The sequence below is a fragment of the Homo sapiens genome, chromosome 7, assembly GCF_000001405.40.
Source record: "Homo sapiens chromosome 7, GRCh38.p14 Primary Assembly".
Classification (NCBI taxonomy): domain Eukaryota; kingdom Metazoa; phylum Chordata; class Mammalia; order Primates; family Hominidae; genus Homo; species Homo sapiens.
Window position 1 is genome coordinate 95,772,128 of NC_000007.14, and position 25,051 is coordinate 95,797,178.

Genomic DNA, 25,051 nt, shown 5'->3' on the forward strand with positions numbered 1-25,051 from the left:
ACACACACACACACACACACACACACACACACAGACACACACACTTAATTCTTTTTTCTTCTAGAAAAATTGGGATCAATCAGACCTATAAGTCATTGTGTACAACAGGTAGATCTGAGCTTTATTTCTATTTAAATGACCTTAAGAAGTGTAGTTGCCTGGGAGTGAAAGTTGTTCAATGGTGGCATTTCAGCAGGAGCTCCCAGAATATTGAAGCTCTTCTCTTTGCAGCAACTGAGGTCTAAGTCCTACCGACGTTAGAGGGATAGACGAATTGACCTTTCCAGGTCCTCTGCTCGCCACCAGCCTACGGAGCGGCGCCACCCCCTCCTGGCGAGACCGGGCGCGGAAGACGCGGAGCGGAGGCCCTCCCTCAGGAGGGGCGCGGGCGTGGAGGGCGTGGGCAGGGGGCGGGGCGAGCCCCGCAGACTGAGTGCTCCGGGGAGCTGTCAGTGTCAGGCTCTGGGAGAGAGGAAGTGATCGCTCCCGGAGGAGCGCGAGCCGAGCGGCCGGCGCAGCGTGAGACAGCACATCCTGCCCGCGCCGGCCCCGCCACCTTCGGGAGCCGCCTGCACCAACGCTGCCGCCGCCCAGGAGCCGCCGCCGGCTCGGGGAGCCCAGTTCCGCCGCTGCCGAGCGCGTCCAGGTAAACTGGAGCGGGATGTCGCCGCTCCCCGGACGGCCGCCTCCGCACCTCTCCCCAACCCTCCCCACCCCGGTGTCGTCTGCGCTGGGAACCAGGCTGGAGCCGAGGCCCCTGCAGCCGCAGCCGGACCCTTGTCCTGGCCCCCTGCCCAGGCTCCTGCGTGCTCCGCTGAGCCCGAAGGCGGCCAAAGCCCCCCAGTGACACCCCCCTCTCGGCAGAGCCGAGAGACTAGGGCAGAGAAGGAAGGGTCGTGGTGTCACCACCTGGTCGCCCACCTTGTGGGCTGGGAAGGGCGTCCCAGTGCGCCCCGCCTCGGTCTTCCCCGGGGGAGCAGTGGGCGAGCGGCGCTGAAATCTGCACCCCTCTGGGCCACCGGCTGACTGCCCCTGGAGGAGGGGGAAAGCTGCAGAGGGAGGGGAAAGGATGCTGTTTGATTACATTTCGAGCTGTCTGCAAAGCTCTTAGATGCTGTCACTACCCTGCAAGTCGGAGGGAGCGAATTCACTTCCAGCAGGGCATTAATTAAACACTTCAAAGCGAGAAGATGCCAGTTTCTCTCTGCTGCGAAAAAGTGTGGCTGGGGGATGTTGTTTTGGTAAACACCTTCACGGCCGCCTGGCTCTCCTTCCCCCGCTCCCATTCGGAATCGCTCTGGCCTTATAAATCCGTGCGTCGTCATCATAAGGGCAGTGATCCTGGCAGCGCTGATGGGAACTGAGTGTGCGGGAGTCTCATGACTTGTACCTTGGCTAATAAGATTAAACAGAAGCCCAGGATCAGGACAGGAAATTACATAGGAGATCAGAGACTCAACAACATGCAGAAGATGGAATATATTCGCTATTCTGGCCTCTACTAATCCTAGGTAAGGGGCAGGAACAAGTAGCCAGCCATTTTCTTGCTTGGAATGCCTTTCAAGTGGGCATTGTAGACTTATTGTAGTTCAGAGTTGTGAAGAATTGCTTCCAAATATTCCAGATTAGCAAAAAGTATAGCTAACAGTAAGGCATAGGCAACTGCAGGTGACAACCCAACGCCTGATGTTAACACAGACATGGGTAACCAGTCTGTGTACATACTTTAATTGTGGAAATTATAGAGATATACGTTGATCAGTGTTAGTAAATTTGAAAAGGGAATATTCAGTGCAATTTGCAAGCTGAGGGTACTGGTGAGAATGTAATACTACCTCTAATTATTTAAAATGCCAAGTTTGTTCAAAAAGGTTTGGTGTGGAAAAAGGGGTCCTAACTCAGCTCTTTTGATCATATTTCTCAATAAAATAAAATCTGAAACACCTGCCACTGAGTTACCACATGTTCTCTTCATAAGAACTAACTCTCGAATATTTGTTTAGGTCTGAGGATCCAGTGCTCCAAGACCCATTCCTCTTAAAACCTCTAGCACCATCCTTGGGAAGTTTTTAGAATACAGTTGGGGGTCGAATGCAGGCTTTTCCAGCCTGTCAAGCTCTTAGCCCTGTTTCTGGCCCACAGCATCTCAGCATTTTACTTTGTCTTCCTTGTCTCAGGCCTCAGATACAAATGCACTTGCTTCCTCCTTCTTTGGACCTCTGAGATGCTGCAGCCGCTGGTGCACAGTCCCCTGGAGGAGGAGGGGCTGGCTTGCAGTCCTTCCCCACCCCCAGCCTTTCCTCCCTCTTTGCTATTGAAAACATGCATGATTGTTTTACTGTTAAAGCTTTAGGTAAATCACCAGTAGGGATATGAGCAGAGAAAATAAACTCGACCCGCAGGAAAAGGGGCAGAGTTCTTAAAGTAGTGGTCCATGGTCTTCAGTTTCTGACTAACTTCGAAGAGAGTAAGAAGTCACTTGGCATTTCAGTCACCATGTTTTATATCTCAGAGAAGGCTCTAGGGTCTTTCTTCCCAATCCCTCTGCTTCCAAAAATACTCCTTCCCGAGTCTACGTTTAATAAATGAGCCTTGCCTTTGATGACAGTGCTGAGTCAAGGATCCAGCCTGGGTGCTGCTCTGTCCATAAAAACAGCGATGTAGACCAGTCTTGTAAAATGCATGCCAAATCTGAAATCTAGGTACCCCTCTTAGTACAGACAGTGTGCACCGGCTTCATCCTGTTACCGTTTTCTCCAGTTTCTTTGTTGTTTAACGTAGCATCAAATGAAAAGGTCACATGCATCTGTTTCAAAATCTGTTTCAAACAAATATATTCCTTCATTACTTTATTCTCCCTACACTTGAAACAAAGATTGATAACAGTAGCTAAAATATATTGAGCACTTTACCAGGCATTGCATTTTAAAATACTTTCACAGGTGTTAACTTATTTAAACATCACAAAAATCTTATGAGGCAGATATTGTTTGTAATCCTGTTTTACAGATGAGGAAACTAAGACACAAAGGTGTCAAGTAACTTTTGCTCAGCTACTAAGTTGAGCAAGGCAGCATTTGAATCAAGGCCTGACTCCAGGCCAGGAGTTTTAACCTCTCTCTTCCGTACTATGAAACAATTACACTGGTTAATTTTCATATATTGAATACCAAGCTCTTCTCTTATCTCATTTTAATTCTTATATTAATCCTATGAAGTAGACATTATTATCCATATTTTCCAAATAATTAAATGAGTTAAATGACATACTCAACATCATTTAATAAATGGCAGAGGTAGGATTCAAATGAGATCTCTCCAAAGACTCTAAAACTAGGACCCATCCATTTTGGCTATTGTGCTGTGTGAGAGACAAAAAAGCGAGTGTATGTCTGTATCTTTCAGGTTTGCTCTCCAATTTCAGTGTGATCCATTGTTATTTTCTTAAAGCCACAAGTATAGCCGCACTTTTTGCCAGTTGATTGGTAACTGTGAATAATATATGCACACTCAAAGTAGACCCATGGCCCCTTAAAATAAATTATGGCATTGTTTTTGTCTCCTTAATGAAAGTAGCTGTTATACTTTGTGGATCTCAAATGCTGTGTAAATAGTTGCTACCTTAATCAGGGATCTCTTTTACTAGAAATCTTTGTGGCTTCTGCATCCCCTAGAGCATGTGAGAACATATATTCTCCTGGGAACTGTGCTGGAACTAGGAACTTCTAGAGTTGACTTTTTTGTTTTGAGAGTTAACTCAAATTAATTCAACTCTCATTTTTCTTCTTTGCAATGTATAAACCCTTGACGAGGTCCATGTAAAAGTTATTCCTCTTGACTGGGCACAGTAGCTTACACCTGTAATCTCAGCACTTTGGGAAGCCAAGGCAGACCAATCACTTGAGGCCAGGAGTTAGAGACCAGGCTGGAGGCTCGTGCCTGTAATCCCAGGCTACTCGGGAGGCTGAGACAGGACAATCACTTGAGCCCAGGAGGCAGAGGTTGCAGTGAGACGAGATTGCACCACTGCAGTCCAGCCTGGGCGACAGAGCAAGGCCCTGTCTTAAAAAAGAAAAAAATTATTCCTCTTGACAGAGACTTTTCATCAATATCCTGGACTTGTGTTCCTTGATTCCTCTCTGAGTGAGGCCTGGCCCCAGAATCTCAGAGTGAAGTTTCCATCGTAACATAGATACCTCTGCCTAGGTGCTAATCCTCATGAGCTCACATATTCATAAAACATCCTTGATTCTTTGTTGGAGGAACCTTCTTAAACAAAAACCCATAGATACTGTAAAAGGGAGGCATACGAATGGTTTTCAGATGGTCATTGAACCCACTAAAATTGAGGCAAATTTTCATGCATTTGTGCATAAATGTAGTTTTCTAGGGAAAAAATGGGGATATTGCTAACTAAAAATACAGGAAGAATCACTGGTTTACATATGCTGTTTAAAAAAGGGGAGAGGAGCAGAGGTCACTCTGCTGAAATGTATCGAAGACAAAGCCAAGCTATCCTACCAGTGGCAGCCAAAAATAAAATGTTCTTGGCTATCAGGACATTTTTGTGGCATTTCACCAGGAGTCCAGGTGGCAGGTATAGCAAACATCAACTGACACTGAGTCAGGCCTGCAACTGAGTCAGGCCTCCAGGCGTGGCAGGCAGTCCTAGCTTGGCTTGTCATTCATTGAGAATCTCCCCTGTGCATAATCAGTGCTTTATAGATGTGTTAGTTCATTGAATCATCCCAACATCCCTGTAAGGTGGACATTTTTCTCTTTCTTTGACAAACAAGGAGATGCTTGGAGGGATTAAGTCACTTGGTCAAGGCCATATGGAGCCAGATAGTGGAAGGGCTGGATTTGAAATGCAGGTGGGCCTGATTCCAAAGTCTGTTTCTTCTCTTCCTACCATAGCTCATAGTTTCTCTGCCTGTGTGGGACACCAAAAAAAGTATTGTTTAGTGTAGCTTTTTATTGTGGCAGGACTAAGAGTCCCTCAAGAAATATGTTCACACACTGATAGGAAAAGCCTAAAATATTATCAAAGGAACAACAACAAGTTGTATGTCTCCCAGAGTGGCAGAAGAAAAGCAAGCCCTGCTTTAACTTAAGGTGAGTTGAAACTCCACACTTTTGCTTCCCCCATCGCCAGGTGTCTTGCCGAGTACCAAATGCACAGCAGCCCCCACCTAACACAGCCTGAAAACTATCTTGCAGGGGTAACTGTAAATCAAAACTTTATTCACTGCAAAGATGAATTTACTTTAAGGCTGTTCTGTCCTCTGAGGCTTCCCTGATACAGCAGCTGTGTCATGATCCGGAACACTGACTTGCTTCTAAATCCTGGGAGGGGCACTACTTACCAGATGACTTACGTGCTCTTTAGTTTTCAGTTCATACTGGTCTTGAAATCCTCTTTAGCAGCTGTTCTTGCTTCCAAATTATTATTTAAGCGCTAACAGTTTTCCGCTTACCTATATTCTTGCTATGATCGCATAGAACAACCCACTGTTTCATTTTGGGGGTTCAGAACAGCTAATGCCATCAATGTGGCAAACACACAAAGCAGAAATTTCGGTCAGAGTTGAGGGTATTCATAATAAAAATAATGAATCTCAAGCACTATAGAGGACGATTGTACTTGATCAACAGACCTGCCTGGTAACCGTTCCAGTGTGCTTCATTATGCTTTAACTCAGTGCTCTTCCAACATTTTTTTTTCTCTTTTATAATCCCTCAAGAATTTTTTAAAAATTCTGCAGCTCCATCACCTCCACACATTTAAGGTTACATCTAATGCTTTTCATCATAAATTTATAGAATCACAATTAATGTGATTTTCAGAATGTTGTAAACTTTGACAGTTAAAAATAAAACCGTGACATCATTCTTTGAATCCAATTAAAATCTAAATACCAACTTCAATTTAAAATGTATGTGAAGAAGCTCTTTTCACAAAGGGATGTTTTTATATCTTGCAGTTAAGCACCACAGTAAAATTTGGGATTTCTTGGGGTTTTGTTTGTTTGTTTAGTTTATATTTGTCTTTAACCTTATATGGCAGAAGGCATTTTGTGAAAATGGAGATGGAAAAAGGGGCCCCGAATAATTCTACAACCACAGGCACATTCTCCGGTAGATAGTTTTAGGAAAACATACAGGCAAAAGCTGCGGATCTGGAAATTAATGCCATTAACTTTTCCCTTGCCTGCAGGCTCTTTAGAAAGCCACTGTGGAGGCCAGGGGTATGCAAATGCCAGTTTGAAGATTGCACATTTATCTAGCACAGGTGCTGTGTGTTATGGGTCAGTGTGGCACAGCTACTGGCAGTCAGGCCCATTGCCTTTTGTGTATGGGACTCAAATTAGAGGTGAGTAGGGCCAGAAGGAGCTGCACAGAGGCTGGTCCCATTTTCTGCTCTCAAGTAGTGGTGACTGGGAATAGCTGTCTTTTATCTTTCTTCTATTTAATGATTTTCAGTACAAGATGGGCTAATTCCAGTGCTTTCTTTTCTTTTTAGTTTTATTTATTTATTTATTTATTTATTTACAAACAGGGTCTTACTCTGTTGCTTAGGCTGGAGAGCAGTGGCATGATCATAACTCACTGCAACTCCAACTCCTGGGCTCAAGCAGTTCTCCCAACTCATCCTTCCAAGTAACTGGGACTACAGGCATGTCCCACCACACCAGCTGGTTAAAAAATTTTTTTTTTCATAGGGATGGAGTCTTGCTGTGTTGCCCAGGCTGGTCTTGAACTTGTGGCTTCCAGCAGTCCTTCTGCCTCAGCCTCCTAAGTGTTGGGATTACAGGTGTGAGCCATTGCACCTGACCCCAGCAAGTTTTTAGATCAGTTGTTCTTAGCCAGGAGCAATTGTCTTCTCCAGGGGACATTTGACAATGTCTGGAGACATTTTTTATTATCTCAATTGGGGAAAAGGGCTGGCATCTAGTGGGTAGAGGTTGGGACTGCTGCTGAACATGCCACAAAGCACAAGACAGCTTCCACAACAAAGAATTATCTGACCCAAAATGTCAATGATGCCGAAATTATGAAACTCTGCTTTAGAAGTTCTAGTTTTCTCATTGAAATCTTCCCTGTTTAAATAATTTAAGTCAATTTTTTTGTCTTTACAAGATAGTAAAAAGCACAACATCTAAGAGCATCTAGGAGGCATGATAAAGTAATGAGAAGAAGAGATCAGATATCCCACTTACTGACTGTGTGAGCCTCAGTTTCTTCGTCTGTAAAATGGGGAAAATGATGCCTGGCTTGCAAAGTTATTGTGAGGATTGCAGACAATCAGTGTACAGGCCCCAGTCATGGTACATGCTAAATACCATAATTCTTTTTACGATCAAACAGCAATTATGTCACTCTCTAGTTTATCTGGGATGTGTGTGATCTTGCCTTCCTTTGAACCAAAGGTATGCTTTGTTTTTTTATAACAAAAAATTGTCTTGATTTGAATTTACTCATTGACGTTCGTATTTCTCCTAGACTTTAGGCTCCTTCAGACATCATTGTGTCTTCCAGCAGAGAACCTTACTCATGGTGAATACTCAACAAGCTTTTGTTGACCTGAAATATTAGCCAGAATAAATCCTACTTAATTTTCCTTTTCTTATAAGACTGAGTTCTTTTTCCCCTTGGAGCATTTTAATGTGTTTAGTAAAAACATTCACTTCCTGAAATGTAGCGCCCATTTTGTGTCTGTGCCCAAGATGAATGTGTGCTTGGTAATACCTAGAATCCTGGAAGTCTTGCTTTCCTGAATCAGGATCATGCAGAGCATTTCTGCTGGGGGAAGGGGAGTCTTGAGGAGGACAATATTTCATTGAAGAAATGACGGGCAGCATGGTTTGAATCTGGTGTTTTCCTTTTTGAACCCCTTAGGCTAATCCTTTTCGTCTGGCTTTGGTCTGACACTGTCCGATGAGCAGTCCAGTACATTGGCTTCTTTCTGGTAGAAGGGACATTTTGATTCCTTACCAGGTTTATATTTTATTCTAATGTCCAAAGTGAAGCGAAGTAATGAGTATATTTTCATTGAATAAATGAAATATTCATTCATTCTAATGAATAAATGATGACACAATGTTATACATCCTTTGCCTACAATCACTTAATCACTTCCCCCACTTTTTTTTTTTCCTTTTGAGACGGAGTCTCTGTCGCCCAGGCTGGAGTGCAGTGGCATGATCTTGGCTCACTGCAAGCTCTGCCTCCAGGGTTCATGCTATTCTCCTGCCTCAGCCTCCCGAGTAGCTGGGACTACAGGCGCCCACCACCACACCCGGCTAATTTTTTTTTTTTTTTTTGTATTTTTAGTAGAGACGGGGTTTCACCATGTTAGCCAGGATGGTCTCGATCTCCTGACCTCGTGATCCGCCTGCCTCAGCCTCCCAAAGTGCTGGGATTACAGGTGTGAGCCACCACGCCCGGCCTCACTTTCCCTTTTAGAATACATGCTAGATTGTTTACTCTGACCTGAAATAGTACCCATTTCTTTGTCAAGATGAAGACTTCACTAATTGTAATGGAAAGAAGTCCTCTCTTTCTGAATGCAGTTTTAGATCCTACAGCACACCATGTGGAAGTCTTTAAATGTTTATCAAGTTGTTGAATGTTAAAATGAGCCTGAGTGCAGGGGATGACCCTGAGACTCTGTCTCAGAACCAACTTGTGGAATGTCAGTTGGTGGGTTTGGATGATGGAAAAGGAAGCAGGCCCTGTGGGGAATGTGTGTTTTGACACAATGTTCCCTTTTAAAACGACCGTGCGTCTACTGTTTCACCATCTGCCCGTTAGTATCAATATAGCAAGAGGTTGTGGGAATTGGTGTGTATTTTGTGGAAGAAAGAATAACAACAACAAAAAAAAAAACCTTCTCTGCCGGCTTCCTTGAAAAGTGTGACTTTGTTCACTTTCAGAAGGTATAGGTTACAGCTGATTTGGAAAGAGGATCCTCCCTCTTTGAATGCCTTCAGGCTCAGAGGAAAATGAGAATCTATTTGGGTAAGTTAAAAATGCCAAACTAAATCTCCCAATGCAAATATGGACCACCCAGGGACACTGTAAAAGGCCAGATTTGGGGTTTTGAATATTTACACATTTTCTTGCCTCCTATTTTAAGCTTTTTAATATTTGTCAAATGCTGCTGAAAAGTAATTGGCATATCAAGCAAGGGTGAAATCCCATATCTTATGCCAGAGAATTTAAAGCCAGGGGAACTGTGCTCATTTTCCTTGAGTATCCCTTGTTTTTAAAAATGAAGAAATGTGAGTTCAAAAAATTCTAAGACAATAAATTAGAGACCTTAAAGTAGATAGAAAAGTTGGTTACAAAACTATTGTCGAGGAGGAGGAAGATATACTATCTTTGAGTGCTCCCTTTCCCTGGTATAGTCTGCCCTGACTGAGCCATTTTTCTCAGTAAATTGGGCAAAAGTTCATTTTTGACGATGGGTCAGGGTACTGGAAACATCACCCTATAACACTGTCAACACCACCGCTACCTTCCCAAATGCTGGAAAGGCAGATCTGGGCAGCACATGGAAAAAGTGTTTTCTAAACTTCCTGGAGGAAAATACAGAAAGTTGCTTTAACCAGGGCACATGCTCTGGAGACTGTGTGGTTAATAATGACATTTAGTACTTTCTTATTCTTTACACCCTCCTCACGGGGCATTCCATAGCACTTTAAGATGGGGATGGTAAAGGAGGGGTGCTTGAAGATGTCAACGCTGTCAGGGAAGGTGAAAAGTAACCAGAATTCCGACTCATTGGAGTGAATTTGATCAGGCTAGGCTGTGTCATGATGCAACAAAAAATAACTGCCAACCTCAGTGGACCAACACAACAAAAAAATTTTCTTGGCCACGTTACATGTCCAGTGTGGGTCAACAAGGGTCTGTGTTCACCATGTTCACTCAGAGGCCCATGCTGCATGAGGCTTCCTCTTGATATATACTTTTACAATCCCTGTGGTAAATTGCATACTGCATATTAAACCTCCTGGAAGTGACATATGACACCTCTACTCATGTTTCATGAGCCAAAAGCAGTTGTGTGGCCATTCCTGACTACAGTGGCATCCTTAAGTGTAGTCCTATGGGAAGGGAACTGGAATTTTCGTAATAAACTCAAATGACTATGGAAGGGAAGGACTTCCATGAAGTCTGCCTATTCCTGCTAATAACTACAGTCTCTATGGGGCACCCCTAGGGACACTGACTGATATGTAACCACATATGTAGTGGTTTCAGCCACCAACTCTACAAGTTAATTGGGAGAGTTCCCTGAGCCATTTGTGGGACTTGCAATAGAGGTGTTGCTCATTTGCTCAGCCACTGCATGCTCAAACCCTGTATGGGATGGGGAGCATGCAGACAGGCAGGTGCAGGAGCCAGAATGAGCACTTTTGGGCCCCAGCCCCATGGTAGCATCGAGGGATGCATTGTAATTAATGCTCTTTTAGCAGTTATTGTCCGTAGATGGCTAAGTATTAAACCAGCTTGTGCAGAGATAAGGTGACAGCCTTTTAACCCTGTCCTCTTGGTACCTGCATACTTGTCCGGCATCCAGGAAGAATCAGGTCACACATGGACTTGAAGGATGGTGAACATAGTGGTTTTATTGAGTGGTGGAGGTTGCTCTCAGTGGGATGAATGGGGAGCTGGAAAGGGGATGGAGTGGGAAGATGATCTGCCCCTGGAGTTCAGCCATCCTGTGGCCAGTCAGCTCTCTGACCTTCCCCAGCCGAACTCCTCTCGATGTTCAGATGTCCCTTCTCTTCTATCCTTCTCTGGTGCTCCTCTCTGCCACTCTGCCACTCTTCTGCTCATGGAGCCTGAGGTTTGGGGTTTTTGTGGGTACAGGATGGGGGCATGGCAGACCAGAGTGGTTTTAGAAAAGGCGACATTTGGGCATGAAAACAGAAATGCCTGTTCCCATTTAGGGCCGTTGGTTTCCAGGCTTGAGGGTGGAGCGTTTGCTGGGAACCACCCTCTTCTACCCAGTATTTCCTTGCCTCCTGTCCATATCACTAACACCTGAATGAATGCCCATTAAAATATAAAATGCATTTGCATGATTTTAGCATCATAAGGAATAACAGGTTCCCAGAAAACTGAGCTTACAAATATAAATTTTACTGATAATGAATAAAAGAAATACATATGGGGTGCAAATTAGCTTCCTTCCGTAGTTGTTCAATTCTAGTCAAGAATATTCATTTAGAACTTATGGAATGCCAGCCATGAGTGAGACTGAGTGCTTGGTGGGCACATGAAAATGAAAAAGTTACAGATCGTAGGGGCCAATGTCTAATAGAGGGAAAATAGAATAATTTATTACCTACAATGTGGTTATATGTTATCAGATATCAAATGATTATCACATATGTTAAAATGGGATAAATGCCTCAGAGATATAACAAAGTACAATGTGGATTCAAAGAAGGGTAGTGATTAATAATTAAGTGAATAATCACTTCTTTCAATTTGCAGACTGACCAGACATCAGTGTTACACAGACAAAAACATTTCAATTAATGTTTTACCTTCATCCTCCTCTTTTGTTTTTGGACCTGATTTGATAACAGAAAAAATGTGATTATGATTAAGAGGTAGTATAAAAGCATGACCTCTGGAAATAAGATTCGAAGCTGAGTTTCACCATTTACTAGCTATGCAATCTTGACAAGTTAACTTTGCTTGCCTGTACCTAATTTTCTTCATCTGTAAAACAGGATTCATAATAATAGTATCTACTTCCTAGTGTTGTGCTGTGGTTTGAAAGAATAAATCCCACTTAATTTTCCATTTCTTACAGGATTTAATTTTTTCCCCTTGGATCATTTTGAAATGCTTAGTACAAACATTGACTTCCTGAAATGTACCACGTCTTGTGTGTCTGGGCCCCAAATGGATGTGGGCTTAGTAATTCCTGGGATTCTGGAAGACTTCCCTTCCTGAATTAGGATCGTGGGAGTGTTTCAGGGTCAGATGTTCAGTCAGTATTTTCCCTGGTCTAGAGAGCTCTAGAGTGTCAATCTGGCTTCTATTCTGATAGATCTGGTAATTCAGGTCTATCGGGGGTACATTTCCTAACTCCCCTGTTCCCACCCCAGCACTTCAAAGTCATGTTAAATTAAATTAAAATTTAATGTGGTATAAATGAATTGTGACTGAATCATGGAGGCATTCTGCTTGTTTGATTCCAGAATGTTAAAATGTCCATGTGCTTGGGGCCAGTGCCGTAGCAAAGGACTGACGAGCTAGAGTCTGGGTACGATGGAGGGGAGTCCGTGAAGCTCATCTTGGTAGATGCTCACCTTCTCTCCCCTCTGTTTTTTCTTTGCCTCTCCCACCCACTCCTTGAATGCAAAGTGGGGGCAACTTGAGGTGATGCTGCAGAGCTTGTGGGCTGTAAACTGGTGAAGGGGTGGGCATGAAGACTCTGTCTTTGGCAAATAGTTATGAGGACACTTACCTGCTGTAGCCCAAACTTGTTGTGAAAAACAGAGTTAATATCCATGTAATAGAGAACCTTTGATTGGTTCAAGCTGTTCAAAAAATGGGCTGGGCTGTCTGTGAGGTAGGGAGTTCCCAATGCCTAGGGAAGTTCAAGCATGTCACCTCCTGTGAACATTGTCTGTAAACAGACTTATCAGTGAGAGGTCAGAGAAGCTCTGGTAATTTCTACATAATTTTCCTCAAAATTTAAGAATCTCTGATCCTTTGTAATGAGACAGAACTTTGTATTATTCTTTCTTTTGGCCAGGTTCTGCCATTCACTTGGGGCCAGCATAAACAAGGGGGCAGGTGCCAAATTGGGAAAATGTAACAACTTTTGCCTATTTCCTTTCCCATGGGACTGTTTAAATTGTAACATTCATTCATTTGTGCCTTCAAAAAACATTTATAAATTCCTCCTGCCAGACAATGGGAATGCTATAGTAACTTCAGGGAGTTTAACAGCCTGTGACAGCCATTAAAAACAAATAAGAGGTCTGGAGCAGTGGCTCATGCCTGTAATCCCAGGCTGAGGCAGGTAGATTGCTTGAGTTCAGGAGTTCGAGACCAGCCTGGACAACATGGTAAAACCCCGTCTCTACCAAAAAATACAAAAAATTAGCCAGGCATGGTGGTGCGCATCTGTGGTCCCAGCTACTTAGGAGGCTGAGGTGGGATGATCACTTGAGTCTGGAAGGCGGAGGTTGCAGTGAGCCAAGATTGCGCCATTGCACTCCAGCCTGGGCGACACAGTGAGACTCTATCTCAAACAAACAAACAAACAAGCAAAAACCAAGAAATGTTGCTAACTTAATTCCAACTTGACCAAGCCACCATGCATTTAATGGCTCATTCTTTCACCAAATCCTTTATTCATTCATTCACTCAGTAATCTCCTAATGTACTCTGACGGTTTTTATAATCTGATCCTCCTTCCCAAAAACAGAGAGTAGACAAATATGCCATTTCAAAGGTATGTGCCAGAAACCCCCAATACCATATACATATATATTGTATATAATTAACAAAATCTATGCCTTCATTGCAACTTTATATATATACACTGTTGTATATATATGTGTGTGTATGTATATATATATGTGTGTATGTATATATATGTGTGTATGTGTATATATATATATATATATATATATATATATATATATATATATTATATATAACAGTATGAGGAACAGAAAATGGAGAGATTACTAGGGGTATGGAGTTCTCACCCTGAATGCATATCTTATGCAAAGAATGTATGTATTGCAAATGCTAAGGTATCTATTTTGAACACTTAATTTCTCACTCATTCTATACAGCAAAAGTGTGATATGTAAGAAAAGTGTTAATTCCAGTAGTTTGCCTTGATTAGCACATTTGAATAGACTGAATTGGTTTAACATGGAAATTCTTGATATTTTTTCAAGACTCTTACATGTTCTAAAAATAAATAACTTTCTTCTGAAGCAGGGCAGGACCAAAGGGCAGAAAAAAATAGCCCTGGGTCAGTTATGTCCTGAGAGTGTGGCACCAAACATTCCCCTTTCCAACTTGTTCCCCATTGCGCCCTGCCACCTCAAACCCATTTGACCATATGCTACAGTCCCATTGAACTGTGCTATTCCCCAAACATCGGCCACTTCCATAGGAAATGATCCCCAGTTCGCATCCTACTCGCATGTCAATGTCTGGCTCTCACTGCTCCTCCTTTAGGAAGCCCCCTCTGTGCTCCAGCTCTTGCAAGCACTCTTTAGTACGTTATACCTTTGTCATGCATGTATCCCATTTCACCTGCAATGTTGTTAGTGTTTTCAGACCCTCCCATATTACATGCTTTTTGAGACAGACTCTATGTTGATCATTTGTGTAAGTCCCACAGTACCCAGAACAGCACTGTGTGCTTTGTAGGGGCTCAGTAAAAAGACTCATTATACCGAATTAACATAAAGATAAATTTAGCATCGTGGAGCCAACTACTTAGGCTTCCTGACTCTTAGCAAATTAAAAATTTTGGTTGATTAGTGTGCTTCTCCCTGCTTTAGAAACATATGGAGGACCTTGCTCAGAAACCCAAGGTAGTCTCCCATTTCCTTCCATCAAGGTAAATTATCCCATCCTCCTTCCCCTTGGCCCCACCACTCCATTCCTGCAAAGTGTCACAGTGTAGCAGGGACTGGAGCAGTGGGGAGAAATGCGCTCTGATCTGCTAAAGGAGTTTGGGGTTATGTGACTGTATATGGACATGTGTGTGGGTACACACTCGTGCTGAAAATAACCCGGTGACACTCTTGAGCATCAACATTCTTACCTGTAGTCAGCTATCATACTGCAGCTGATCAGGACCAGCAGTTAGCTATACAGATGGGCAGAATTAAGGTCTGAATCTTACTTTTGAGTGTCTAGATGTTAGATTGTTCTTAGGTAGCCCACATTCTCTAGCAACTTACTGATGGGTAAACATGCAACCCAATGTAAGTATATGTTATATGTTAGGTCCCCAACATAAAATGCCAACTTACTAACTTTGCCAAGAGAAACCTAACTTCCCACTGGATCACAGTGCCCTTGCTTATAGGTCAGTATTCTGAACTCTGCTGAGAACTTGAGTTTCTGGGCCCTTGGTTTGGGCTAGGCATGGCTGGGACAGGACTAGTGTGAGGTTATTAAGGATAATCTTAAAGGCTGAGTCTAGAGGCAACCTGGGCATTGAAAAATCAAGCTGGTGGTCCAATTATGTTAATACATTCAAAAGGACTGGGAAGGGAGGCAGAATCTAGGTGTGGCAATAATATGGCAATTGAGGGCACCAAAACAAAGCAAAAGGGTTGAGAGGGAGGGTGGGGAAACAGATCTAGGGGAATCCTAAAACCAATGGAGCGTTGACACTTTTTATAGTACATAAGGCTAGGAACAGGGAAAGGAGTTCACTCAGACACATTTTTTGCAGCCATATTTATTCATTCATTCAACAAATATTATCTACTCTGACCAGTCACTATCCTAAGTATTGCCAATACATCGGTGAACAATATGGACAAAATCTATGCCTTCATTGGAGGTTAACGTCTAAAAGGAGAGACAAACAACAAAAAATACTGAAATGTTAAGTCTAATATATATAATGAAGAAAAACTTAAGGCAGCAGAGAAGATGGCAATGCAGGGACAGTGGGTGGGGAATAGTTTGCATTTTAAATAGAATGGTCAAGTAAGACCTCAATGAGATGAAATTTGGACTAAGTCTTGAAGAAGCAAGCCATTCAGATATGTAGGGGAAAATGCGTAACAGGCAGAGGGAATAGGAGGTGCAAAGACCCTGAGGTGGGTGTGTACCTGATGTGTTTGAGGAACAGTTAGTAGGCCAGAATGTCTGGGGATGAGATCAGGAAAGTGATAGGGTTGTGTTGTGTAGGGCCATGGAGGCTATTACAAGGAATTTGGCTTTTACTCTGAAATGGGAGCCATTGGAGAACTTTTTGCAGAGAAGTGACATGACTTGACTTGTGTTTTAATGCATTACTATAGCAGCTGTGTGGGAATGGGCTGCAAGGGAGGCCAAAGATAGAAATGAGAAGACCCATTAGGGGGCTTCTGCAGAAATATGGATGACAGATGATGGTGGCTTTGACAGGGTGATAGCAGGGGAGGTGGTGAAAAGTGGACAGATCCTGGAAATGTTTGGAAGGAAGAGATAATTTGCTGATAGATTGGATGTGGGTTTGATGGAAAGGGAAATCAGAGATGGCTCCAAGACTTTTGGCCTGAGTAGCTGGAAGCAGTTGCCTTTGAAGTGGGGAAGATCAAAAGCTGGATGCACATGAAGCCAGAGTCCAGGGAACATTTGTCACAGCTAGTGCTTCCAGGTGGTGTGCTGGCGCCATTGAGGTGACTCTCCTACCAGACACACAGGAAGGGTGATGTGAGTTGGTCAGGGCGATGTCAGTTGGTCGGGACACCTTTTCGCGGCACACACTGGGGAAAACCTGAAAACTTCATCCCCGTTTTTGTATGGTTTAAGACTCTGTTCTCCTTCTATTGTAATAGGTTTTGCAGTTGATTACCACTAATTATGTGGTGGTGGAGAAATAGCTTTTATGTCTCCACTCTGCTACTTCCCAAGGCTGTGATTGGGTGGGAAAGGTATAATTGCAGTACCATTCAATAAAGGAATGTTCTGGAATATGGGGCAACCTGACAGGTAGAAAAGGAGGCAGATGTATTCATGTAAATTATTACATACTTTGGATATTTTGTGACCCCTTAGCATGCATGGTCTTGAAAATTTAGATATAATTCTTCCTCCATTTTAATTCTTTCTTCCAGAATTGGTTTTCTTTAAAAGCTAATGTATACATGCCTGCATCCTATTTTCACTCAAAGTGACAGATGGTTGAAACCGACTCTAGCTACATTTTTTAAAAAGTCTTGAATTTAAAAAAATACACATGAGTATCAGAAGGGTTTAAGCCTTTTAGAACTGGTTGAGAAATCTGCTCTGAATGCTGCTTCATACCACTGAGTTATCCATTCGTGTACAAAATGCTGTGTGCTGGGCCAGGGTAGGGAATTTGCAGCCAAGCTTTTCAGATGGGTATTTGCTTTCTAAAAGGAATATAAAGGTTGTGCTGATGGGGCAAATAGCAAATATCCAAATCCAAGAGCGGCATTTAGCATTTGTGTTGACATGGTCTGCAGGGAATATGTGATGGTCCTGCATTTCAGGCAGTATTGATTTTCTACACTCTTATCTGCATAGTAAGGTAGCTGGAAAAGTTGATTAATCTTTCGAGAACACCCACTTTGATGTGTTTGTACTTTGGAGTATTGAGGGACTTATTTTATGTTTTTTTCTCTTTAATCGTCTGGTAGATTTAAACAAATAGAGTGGAGTTTGCTTTGGTCATTCTGTGATACAGTTTTCCTGCCAGTGCTCTGTGAATACATTACAGGTTCCATGTATACCCAATGTTAATTTCTTGGCAGCACTCAAGGTAATCAGAGCCTGGTAAGTCTCCTGTGGTAGTGAACACCTTTCTCTGTTCACCCTAACATACCTTGCAAATGTCATCATGATCTGTGGGTGTCATGACATGCAAAATGTTGGCTGAGAAAGGATAAAGGTAGAGATAAATTTAGAATTAAAAATTTTTCAGTTTAAGAATTGATGTAGCTCAATATATTTCAAAAGTTTAACTGCAAGTAACAATTATAAATAATATGTGTATGTAACAGTAAATGTATGTATGTGTGTCCAAAACAAGTTTCTTACCATGTGCAGTACATTCTAATAATTCTAAGCTGTTACATCACAGAAATGGCTGCCTGTGACCACTGACTTGATTTTGTAACTCACCAGTGGGTTGCAACCCATGTTTTAAAAGGCTGATGTAGAGTGAATTACACACTAGGAATTAATTATCTTGTCTTGTGCTTGCTCAGATCCTTCTGTGTTTCCCTTCTGCGTACAGAGAAGTTCAGACCCCCTTAAAGCATGGCATAGCCAACTTTTGGCTATAGGGTGACCAATTTGGCCAGGTTTGCCTGGGACTTTCCTGGTTCTAGCACTGTACATCCTGTGTCCTGTGTACCTCTTTATTTATGTGCAAACTAAGATGGTTGCTCACTCAGTCTTTGGAATCTGGTCTCTGACTGCCTTTCCATTTGCGTCTTCCTCCACCCCATTTTGTACTCACTGTTCCATCCATATCTCATTACTTGTCCCACAAACTGGTCATTCTTCTTACCTCCCACCTTTGTCCATGCTTCCCCCTCTGCCTGGGAGCACCACTCACCTGTGCTTTCCTCAGGTCTGGTCTTCCTCCATTCTGATTTGTTGAGTCAACCTACTTTTTGGAAACTTTCTTTCACTGCTTTCTTGTGAGCAAGGTGGTAACCACAGACTACATGGACTTATGGAATCTTTAGTAACTCTGTGTTTTCCTCAGCTGTTATATTCTTTATCATCTGTTGAACAAACATTAGAAGGAAAACTGCTGACATAAAGTGGGTGACTATGGCGAAGAAAGAATACAAGATAAGTAGAATAAATCAATAGAGATGATATGGCCAACAGAGTGGGGCAAGAGAAGATGCAAAAAAACACAACTACAGGCTTATGCAGTGGCTAAGTGGCTGAGAGCATGTGCTGTGGAGAATTTGGGTTTGAATCCTGGATCTTCACATGCCAAAGTTGTTTGCTTTGGTTGTGAGGATAGAGTATTACCTTAGAGGCCTCTTCTCTGCATGTGCTTTTCCACTCATCATGACCCCAACAGGGATTGGTGGTCCTTAAAATTAGGTAGGCTTAATTACAAATTCATACGTATTTTGTAGTAAATTTGAGAGAGAATTAAGTGGTCTTAAGATGTGAAGATATTCTTAATTTATAGTTTTAGAAGATTAGAATAAATTGATTTTTTGTGAGCATGTGTAATGCTGATCTATTTTAGGAAAATCTAATTTTACTTTATTATCTGAATTAAATAATATTTAAATTTATTATTGAAATTAAAATTATTCCTTCATTGTGATTAATGTATCTTGATAGAAATTTCCTTTAATATGATAGTTTAAATTTGTGCTCACTTGGGGGTTGCAAAAACAGCTGGATGGCTTAAATTTGCCTGCATCCTCTATCGAGAGAGAGTGCCCATTTCAGGCAGGCCTACTGGCCCATGTTGTCTTGATTTAACTTTGTTGCACAGAGAATCTGGCTCCTTTATCATACAGCAGGCCAAGGACTCAGAGTCAAAGCTAAAGCTAGTCATATCTAAAGATTTGCTTGTTATCAGTTATTTTAAAGATCAGTCTGCCAGGTTACCTGAGAGTAGTTTATTTTTAGACATGTTCATTTATCATCTTAGCAACTCAGAGAAAACAGCTCCAAGCGCAATAGATGGCTCTGTTCTAAAGCATAGATTATTTTTACATCACTGTTAAAGAGAAAGCCCAGCCATCAACATGATAATTTATCCTCAAGGAATTTGGGGCAATAAATTCAAGACTGCTGAATTTATTCGTTGAGATAATCAATAGAGATTGTCAATTATAAATTAATGGATTTTGCTAAATCATCCTTTTAGAGTCGGAAAACAGAGATTAAAAATGTAAATCAGGCAGGAAAAATTATATCAATAGATATATAATGGTAGTGATTTAGTAAAAGATAGTTGAATGGATGAGACAATGTTAGGAGTATGTGTTTGTTGCACATTTGTACTAATGAGTGAGACAATGACTCTCCCCCGCCATTCCCTATGGGAAGAAAGATTTGTTGCATAATGAGGAAAAATTTCTCTGATTTTCGTCCTTTAAAAGCATAGAATGCTGAGTCAATTTATTGATGATTGGAAAGTTCTCAAAATTTTAGTGAAAATATGCACAATATGGACATAATGTCTCCAATAGTTGTTTAGCAATTCAAGAGACATTTATTGAGCACTCAGTGCTAGGCACTAAGGTACAGAAGTAAATTAGACATGGCCCCTGTCTTAAGAGCTTTAAGTCTAACAGGAGGAGAAGAATCACATTAACAGAGTGTAGTCATGCACTATGGTACATGTTCCAGCAGAACTACGTGCAGGGTACTCTAACAGCACCGGTGAGGGGTGCATGATCCAGTCTTGTGCTGGGATTTAGACATGGTACCCCAAAATAAGGCACCTTGGCATATTGAATATTTTAAGCTGAAGGAACTTGAGAAATGGCATGTGCAGGAAGGTCTCTCTGACCGTCCCCTCCCCTTCTCTGAAGCAAGTCAAAGGACCCTCATGTGAGAGGGAGGGTGCATCCTTATCTCTGAAAACACAGGATACAGAGAGGAATCTGAATGAAGAGGCCAGGCTATGCTTCCCCTAGTTGCTACTCTTAGATAATACTTGTTTTGGCCAGTCAATGTTTTCCCCACAACTCTTCATTCTTCATGAAGCCTACTACGAAAGCATTCAGGTTTAACTGTTTCTTTGGGTCTTCATTTCCTTATGAAGCCTCCCATACCATGTAAAACTTACATTAAATAAATTTGTATGATTTTCTCCTTCTAATCTGTCTTTCATTACAGGAGTCTCAGCCAATGAACCTAAGATAAGTAGAAGGAAAAGATATTTTTCCTCCTCCACACTGGATGCCCTAGGAAGGCTTTCTGGAGGGGATGTGATTGAGTTGAGACAGAAAGATGAATAGGGGGCATCAGGTTAAACATGGTGAGAATAACATTTCTGGAATTTGCAAAGGTACAAAGGCAAAAAAAAACCACTTGGTATGCGCCAGTAAATTGTGAACTAGGGAGTGGAAGGATATATGGATGGAGAGGTGGGAAATAAGAGCATCTCATGTGCCCATGGTAAGGAGTTGGGACATATTTTCTAACAGTGTTTTAAACAGTGTTCTGTCACCCAAATCTGATGGGTACACTACCATCAGATTTGGTGATAGAAAGCTCACCCTGATATTGCGTGGAGGACGTATCATCAGGGCGCAAGTTTAGCAGAGGAAGATGAGTTAGGAGAGTATTGCAATTGTCAGAAGCAATGATGAAGACTGGCCTCATGCAATGTGAAAGGACATGGATCAGAGAGGGCAAGCTGGTAAATATTAGGTGGTCAAATTGGGAGGACTTGAAAATTGGTTGTGGGGTGTGGTGAGTTCGAGGATTTGGGGCTGACCAAGGAAAAGACAAGATGGCAGCATTACAAAACAGCTTTATTGGGTGGTACTTGGACAGGACTGGATGAGAGGAAGTCTCTCGTGGCAGACCTCCCAAAGACAGCAGCATGAGGCCACCACCCAGAAGTGGAAGAGGAAAAGGGAACTCCCAGGGCAGAAGGGAATGGAAGTTGCGGCCTATAGGTCTAGGTGATGTTGCTCAGCTGCAAGGTGGGGAGTCTCTGGGTCAGAGAGTTCCAAAGAGCAACAGCAGTTTAGAATTATTTCTATAGCCACAGGGTTTGTATTATCTATGGCTAGCAGATGTTGGTTGCACACAGAGTCTAAATGGCTAAAAATATGCTTATTTGAACTCTATTTTAACCAATTGGATGTGTGAGAATTTGTGTTTTATGCCAGTGGGTTATGAGCTAATGGTCCCAGCCTGCTGTGAAGAAGTAAACAGCATAGGGACCAATGTCCAGGGGCCATCTTTAACTCGTTTACGTAACAGGCAATGTTTACTCAGTGCCTACTATGTGCCCAATGTGATGCTGAAGAGCCACCGTGTGAGTTCCAAAGGAAGCTGTGTGATGCTCTATGGAGGATCCACCCCTTTCTATGTGCTCCTTGGGAGTGCCGCTTGAGATGGAGCAGCTCCTTTCTACTCAATGAATGTTTTAGAACCTCTAGGCGCACAGATGCATAATTTCCTGTTATATAAAGTGCAGTCATGGTAGCTTTCTTTGTTTGGCTTCTTTGCCTGATACTTGGCCTAAGTATACGATTTATCTTTCCTATCTGTTTTGACCTAAGGTTGTGTGTTTCCTGAGGATCCTGTTGCAAGTCCTTACTTCTTTCTTCATGTAGTTATCCTTGTGACAGTGCCTAGAGGGCTCCCATCTCCTTTCTTCTGATTCTGTTTTCCGGTTCCTCTTCTGCCCTAATTTCCAGTGACCCAATTCCAAAATACTGCTCTCTAGTTGTCCAAACTGTTCCATCTTTAGTTTTATACTCTTTCAAGGATTCTACTTGAGATTCTCATTTCCTAAGGACTCTTGATATCATCTGAGTGTTTCTTGAAGGAAGATACTCTAAGAAATGAATGGCTGATTCTGTTAATTGGGGAACAGTTTCCTTTCCAAAGAGAAGCATATTGAATCTCTAAATTGGTGGAATGCACCATAGGGGTCAGAAATTAAACAAAAATTTTCCAAACTTTTTGGCAAAGACGACAGTGGCTTTTGAGTCCTTTAAGATTTAAGAGCTCTCATCTCTACTCTGTTAACTAGATGAGAGGGCAGATACCCTATGGATTGATTTTTCTCTCTAGCATAATGGGCCTCTGTACTGAGGGCTCGAGAGCCTCTCCTGTTTAATGTGCTGCAATTGCCAATGCTCAAGTTACAGTTAAAGTAGTACAATTTGGGTAGCTCAGAATCATAAAACAGTGAAAATAGGACTAGAGACAATATGTAGACACAACAGTCTTAAATACATGTCACAAATTCAGCAAGAGTGATACTAAAGGCTTAATTTTAGAAAAATTTCTGAATTTCCTAGTCAAGAATTTACCCAATATGAATAAAATTGAGAGGAACCTAGAAAAATCAACATAATGTTTCAACTGTGTGTATGGATTGAGATAGTTTTTCCTCCAAAATAGTAGTTCTCTACAGCCACAAATAGGTCCTTCCTATGTAAATGAAACTCCTGCAGTGCTTGGGACTACCCAGTATTGGCTTTGATGGGGTGTATGGGAATTTCAGAGGAATGCTTTTCCTTCTGGTGTCAGCTCTCTCATGCAATTTACATGTGATGCCACCAGGTGGTGATACAGAGGGATAGCAAGACTGGACCGGAAGTAGACTGATCAGCATCCATCATAACGGCTTTTTGTTTAAGAGCTTTCTTTGGATTTAAATTAGTAAAATCTTGAATAAGTAAACACTGGAAGGAAAGCATTATTTAATGAAAGTGCCCAATAATGAGGAAGTCTGACATTTCCATTTTAACTCTTCCATTTAATGGTTGTAAATGTGTATGACTATATCTGTTTCCCTATTTATGGGTAAAATGCTGGTACTGGATTATATAATCCTTGAAGTTCTTGTTTTGAAATGAACATGTATAATTGTAATTATTAAAGCAGTCTATTAATGCTATTCACAATAGCAAAGACAGCGACTCAACCTAAATGCCCATTAATGGTAGACTGGATAAAGAAAATGTGGTATATGTATGCCATGGAATATGATGCAGCCATAAAAAAGAACGAGATCATGTCCTTTGCAGAAACATGGATGGAGCTGGAGGCCATTATCCTTAGCAAACTAACGCAGGAATGGGAAACCAAATACCAGATGTTCTTACTTGTAAGTGGGAGCTAAATGATGAGAAGGCATAGACACATAGAGGGGAGCAATACACACTGGGCTCTGTTGAAGGGTGGAGGGTGGGAGTAGGGAGAGGATCAAGAAAAATAACTACTGGAAATTAGGCTTAATACCTGGGGGATAAAATAATCCATAAAACAAGCCCCCATGTCACAAATTTATATAAGAAACCTGCACATGTACCCCTGAACTTAAAAATAAAAGTTAAATTTAAAAAAGTAAAATGAATTAAAAATGCCTCTGTGAACAAAGATGATGGTTTGCAAACTCCTCAGTGATATGAAGAAGCCTACTAGATATAATTGAGGTCTGTAAAAATCACCCTTTGTTTTCTCTTGTAAAATTAAATATAATTAAGACCAAAAAAAAAGCAGCCTACAGCAAAATTAGGACAAAGGAATAAAAAAAATCACACAAACATAAATCTATAGTTCATTAACAACTGTCTTACTTCACTTTACAACCAGGCTAACGCCCATTTGTGTGTGTGTGTTTAGTGAGGGGAGAAGGAGAATGGGGAATGAAAAGTGGCTTCTCAGTTAGTCTTCCTTACCTGTTACCTGGCTTAGGCAAGTGAGAAATCTTTCACACATTGTTCTATGGGGTCTCTCTCTCTCTCTTTCTTTCCTTCTTTCTTTCTTGACGGAGTTTCACTCTTGTTGCTCAGGCTGGAGTGCAATGGCGCGATCTTGGTTCACTGCAACCTCCACCTCCCAGGTTCAAGTGATTCTCCTGCCTCAGCCTTCCCGAGTAGCTGGGATTACAGGCGCATGCCACCATGCTCTATAGGGTCTTTTCTTTAAGGCCTCACTTTCCTCCTAACTCTAGTTTTCTTTATGCTGTATCTAGAAGTCTTACTCAGATCTCCCAGGTATTTTTAAATCATAGTTTGTGGAATTTTTGACTCTAACTTGAATGTTTAATGCTGAGTGATTTTGTTAGTCTGCCTTTCACTATTTCTTTTCCTAAAAAAAGCCTGAACTCCCTCTGTTTAGATTATTTATATAAACACTTAGCAAAATTTTGTCAAGTAAATGTCTCTGTAGGCTTTAGAATCAACTCTATCTTATCAGAATTAGGTTAAGTCACAGTTGACTTAACCTAAGCTGGGGAACCCCTAGGGGTTCCCCAGAAACATTAGGGATCTGTAAGGTCAAAGCTATTTTCATAATAACACTAAAATGTTATCTGTCTTTTCTACTGTGTTGACATTTGCAATGATGATATTAAAGCAATCATGGGTAAAACTGCTGGTATTCTAACGTGATTTGAGGCAGTAGCACCAAACTGTACTAGTAGTGGCCCAAATTTCACTGCTACATGCACAGTTTTTAAAAAAATAACTCAGCTTCACTTAAGAATGTCCTTCATAAAGCAGAAAAAAAATTAGTTACATTAAATGTCTACTCTTGGGTATATGTCTTATTGTGTGACAAATGGGAACACGCAAAGCCTTCTGCTACCAACCAAGTAGTTGTCTTGAGGAAAAAC

The 25,051-nt window shown here is 41.8% G+C and overlaps 1 protein-coding gene across 5 annotated transcripts in view, besides 3 other annotated features; it reads left to right on the forward strand.

Moving 5' to 3' along the window:
• Nucleotides 1-426: 426 nt before the first annotated feature.
• Nucleotides 427-25,051, forward strand: part of DYNC1I1 (dynein cytoplasmic 1 intermediate chain 1) — a 337,769-nt gene continuing 313,144 nt past the window's right edge. For all 5 annotated transcript variants that reach the window (NM_001278422.2, NM_004411.5, NM_001278421.2 and 2 more), the window contains exon 1: nt 427-646. The gene's annotated coding sequence lies outside the window, so the exon portion shown is untranslated. The remainder of the gene's footprint in view (nt 647-25,051) is intronic.
• Nucleotides 4,473-5,672: an enhancer, noted in NCBI's record as "CDK7 strongly-dependent group 2 enhancer chr7:95405912-95407111 (GRCh37/hg19 assembly coordinates)". NCBI's record gives its function as "activates an origin of replication core promoter dependent on BRD2, BRD4, P300/CBP, MED14 and CDK7 cofactors, with strong dependence on CDK7, by STARR-seq in HCT116 cells {active_cell/tissue: HCT116}" and the evidence as "EXISTENCE:reporter gene assay evidence [ECO:0000049][PMID:35650434]".
• Nucleotides 21,570-21,864: a silencer, noted in NCBI's record as "tiled region #1852; K562 Repressive non-DNase unmatched - State 23:Low". NCBI's record gives its function as "represses a minimal TATA promoter and a strong SV40 promoter by Sharpr-MPRA in K562 cells {active_cell/tissue: K562}" and the evidence as "EXISTENCE:reporter gene assay evidence [ECO:0000049][PMID:27701403]".
• Nucleotides 21,570-21,864: an enhancer, noted in NCBI's record as "tiled region #1852; HepG2 Activating non-DNase unmatched - State 24:Quies". NCBI's record gives its function as "activates a minimal TATA promoter and a strong SV40 promoter by Sharpr-MPRA in HepG2 cells {active_cell/tissue: HepG2}" and the evidence as "EXISTENCE:reporter gene assay evidence [ECO:0000049][PMID:27701403]".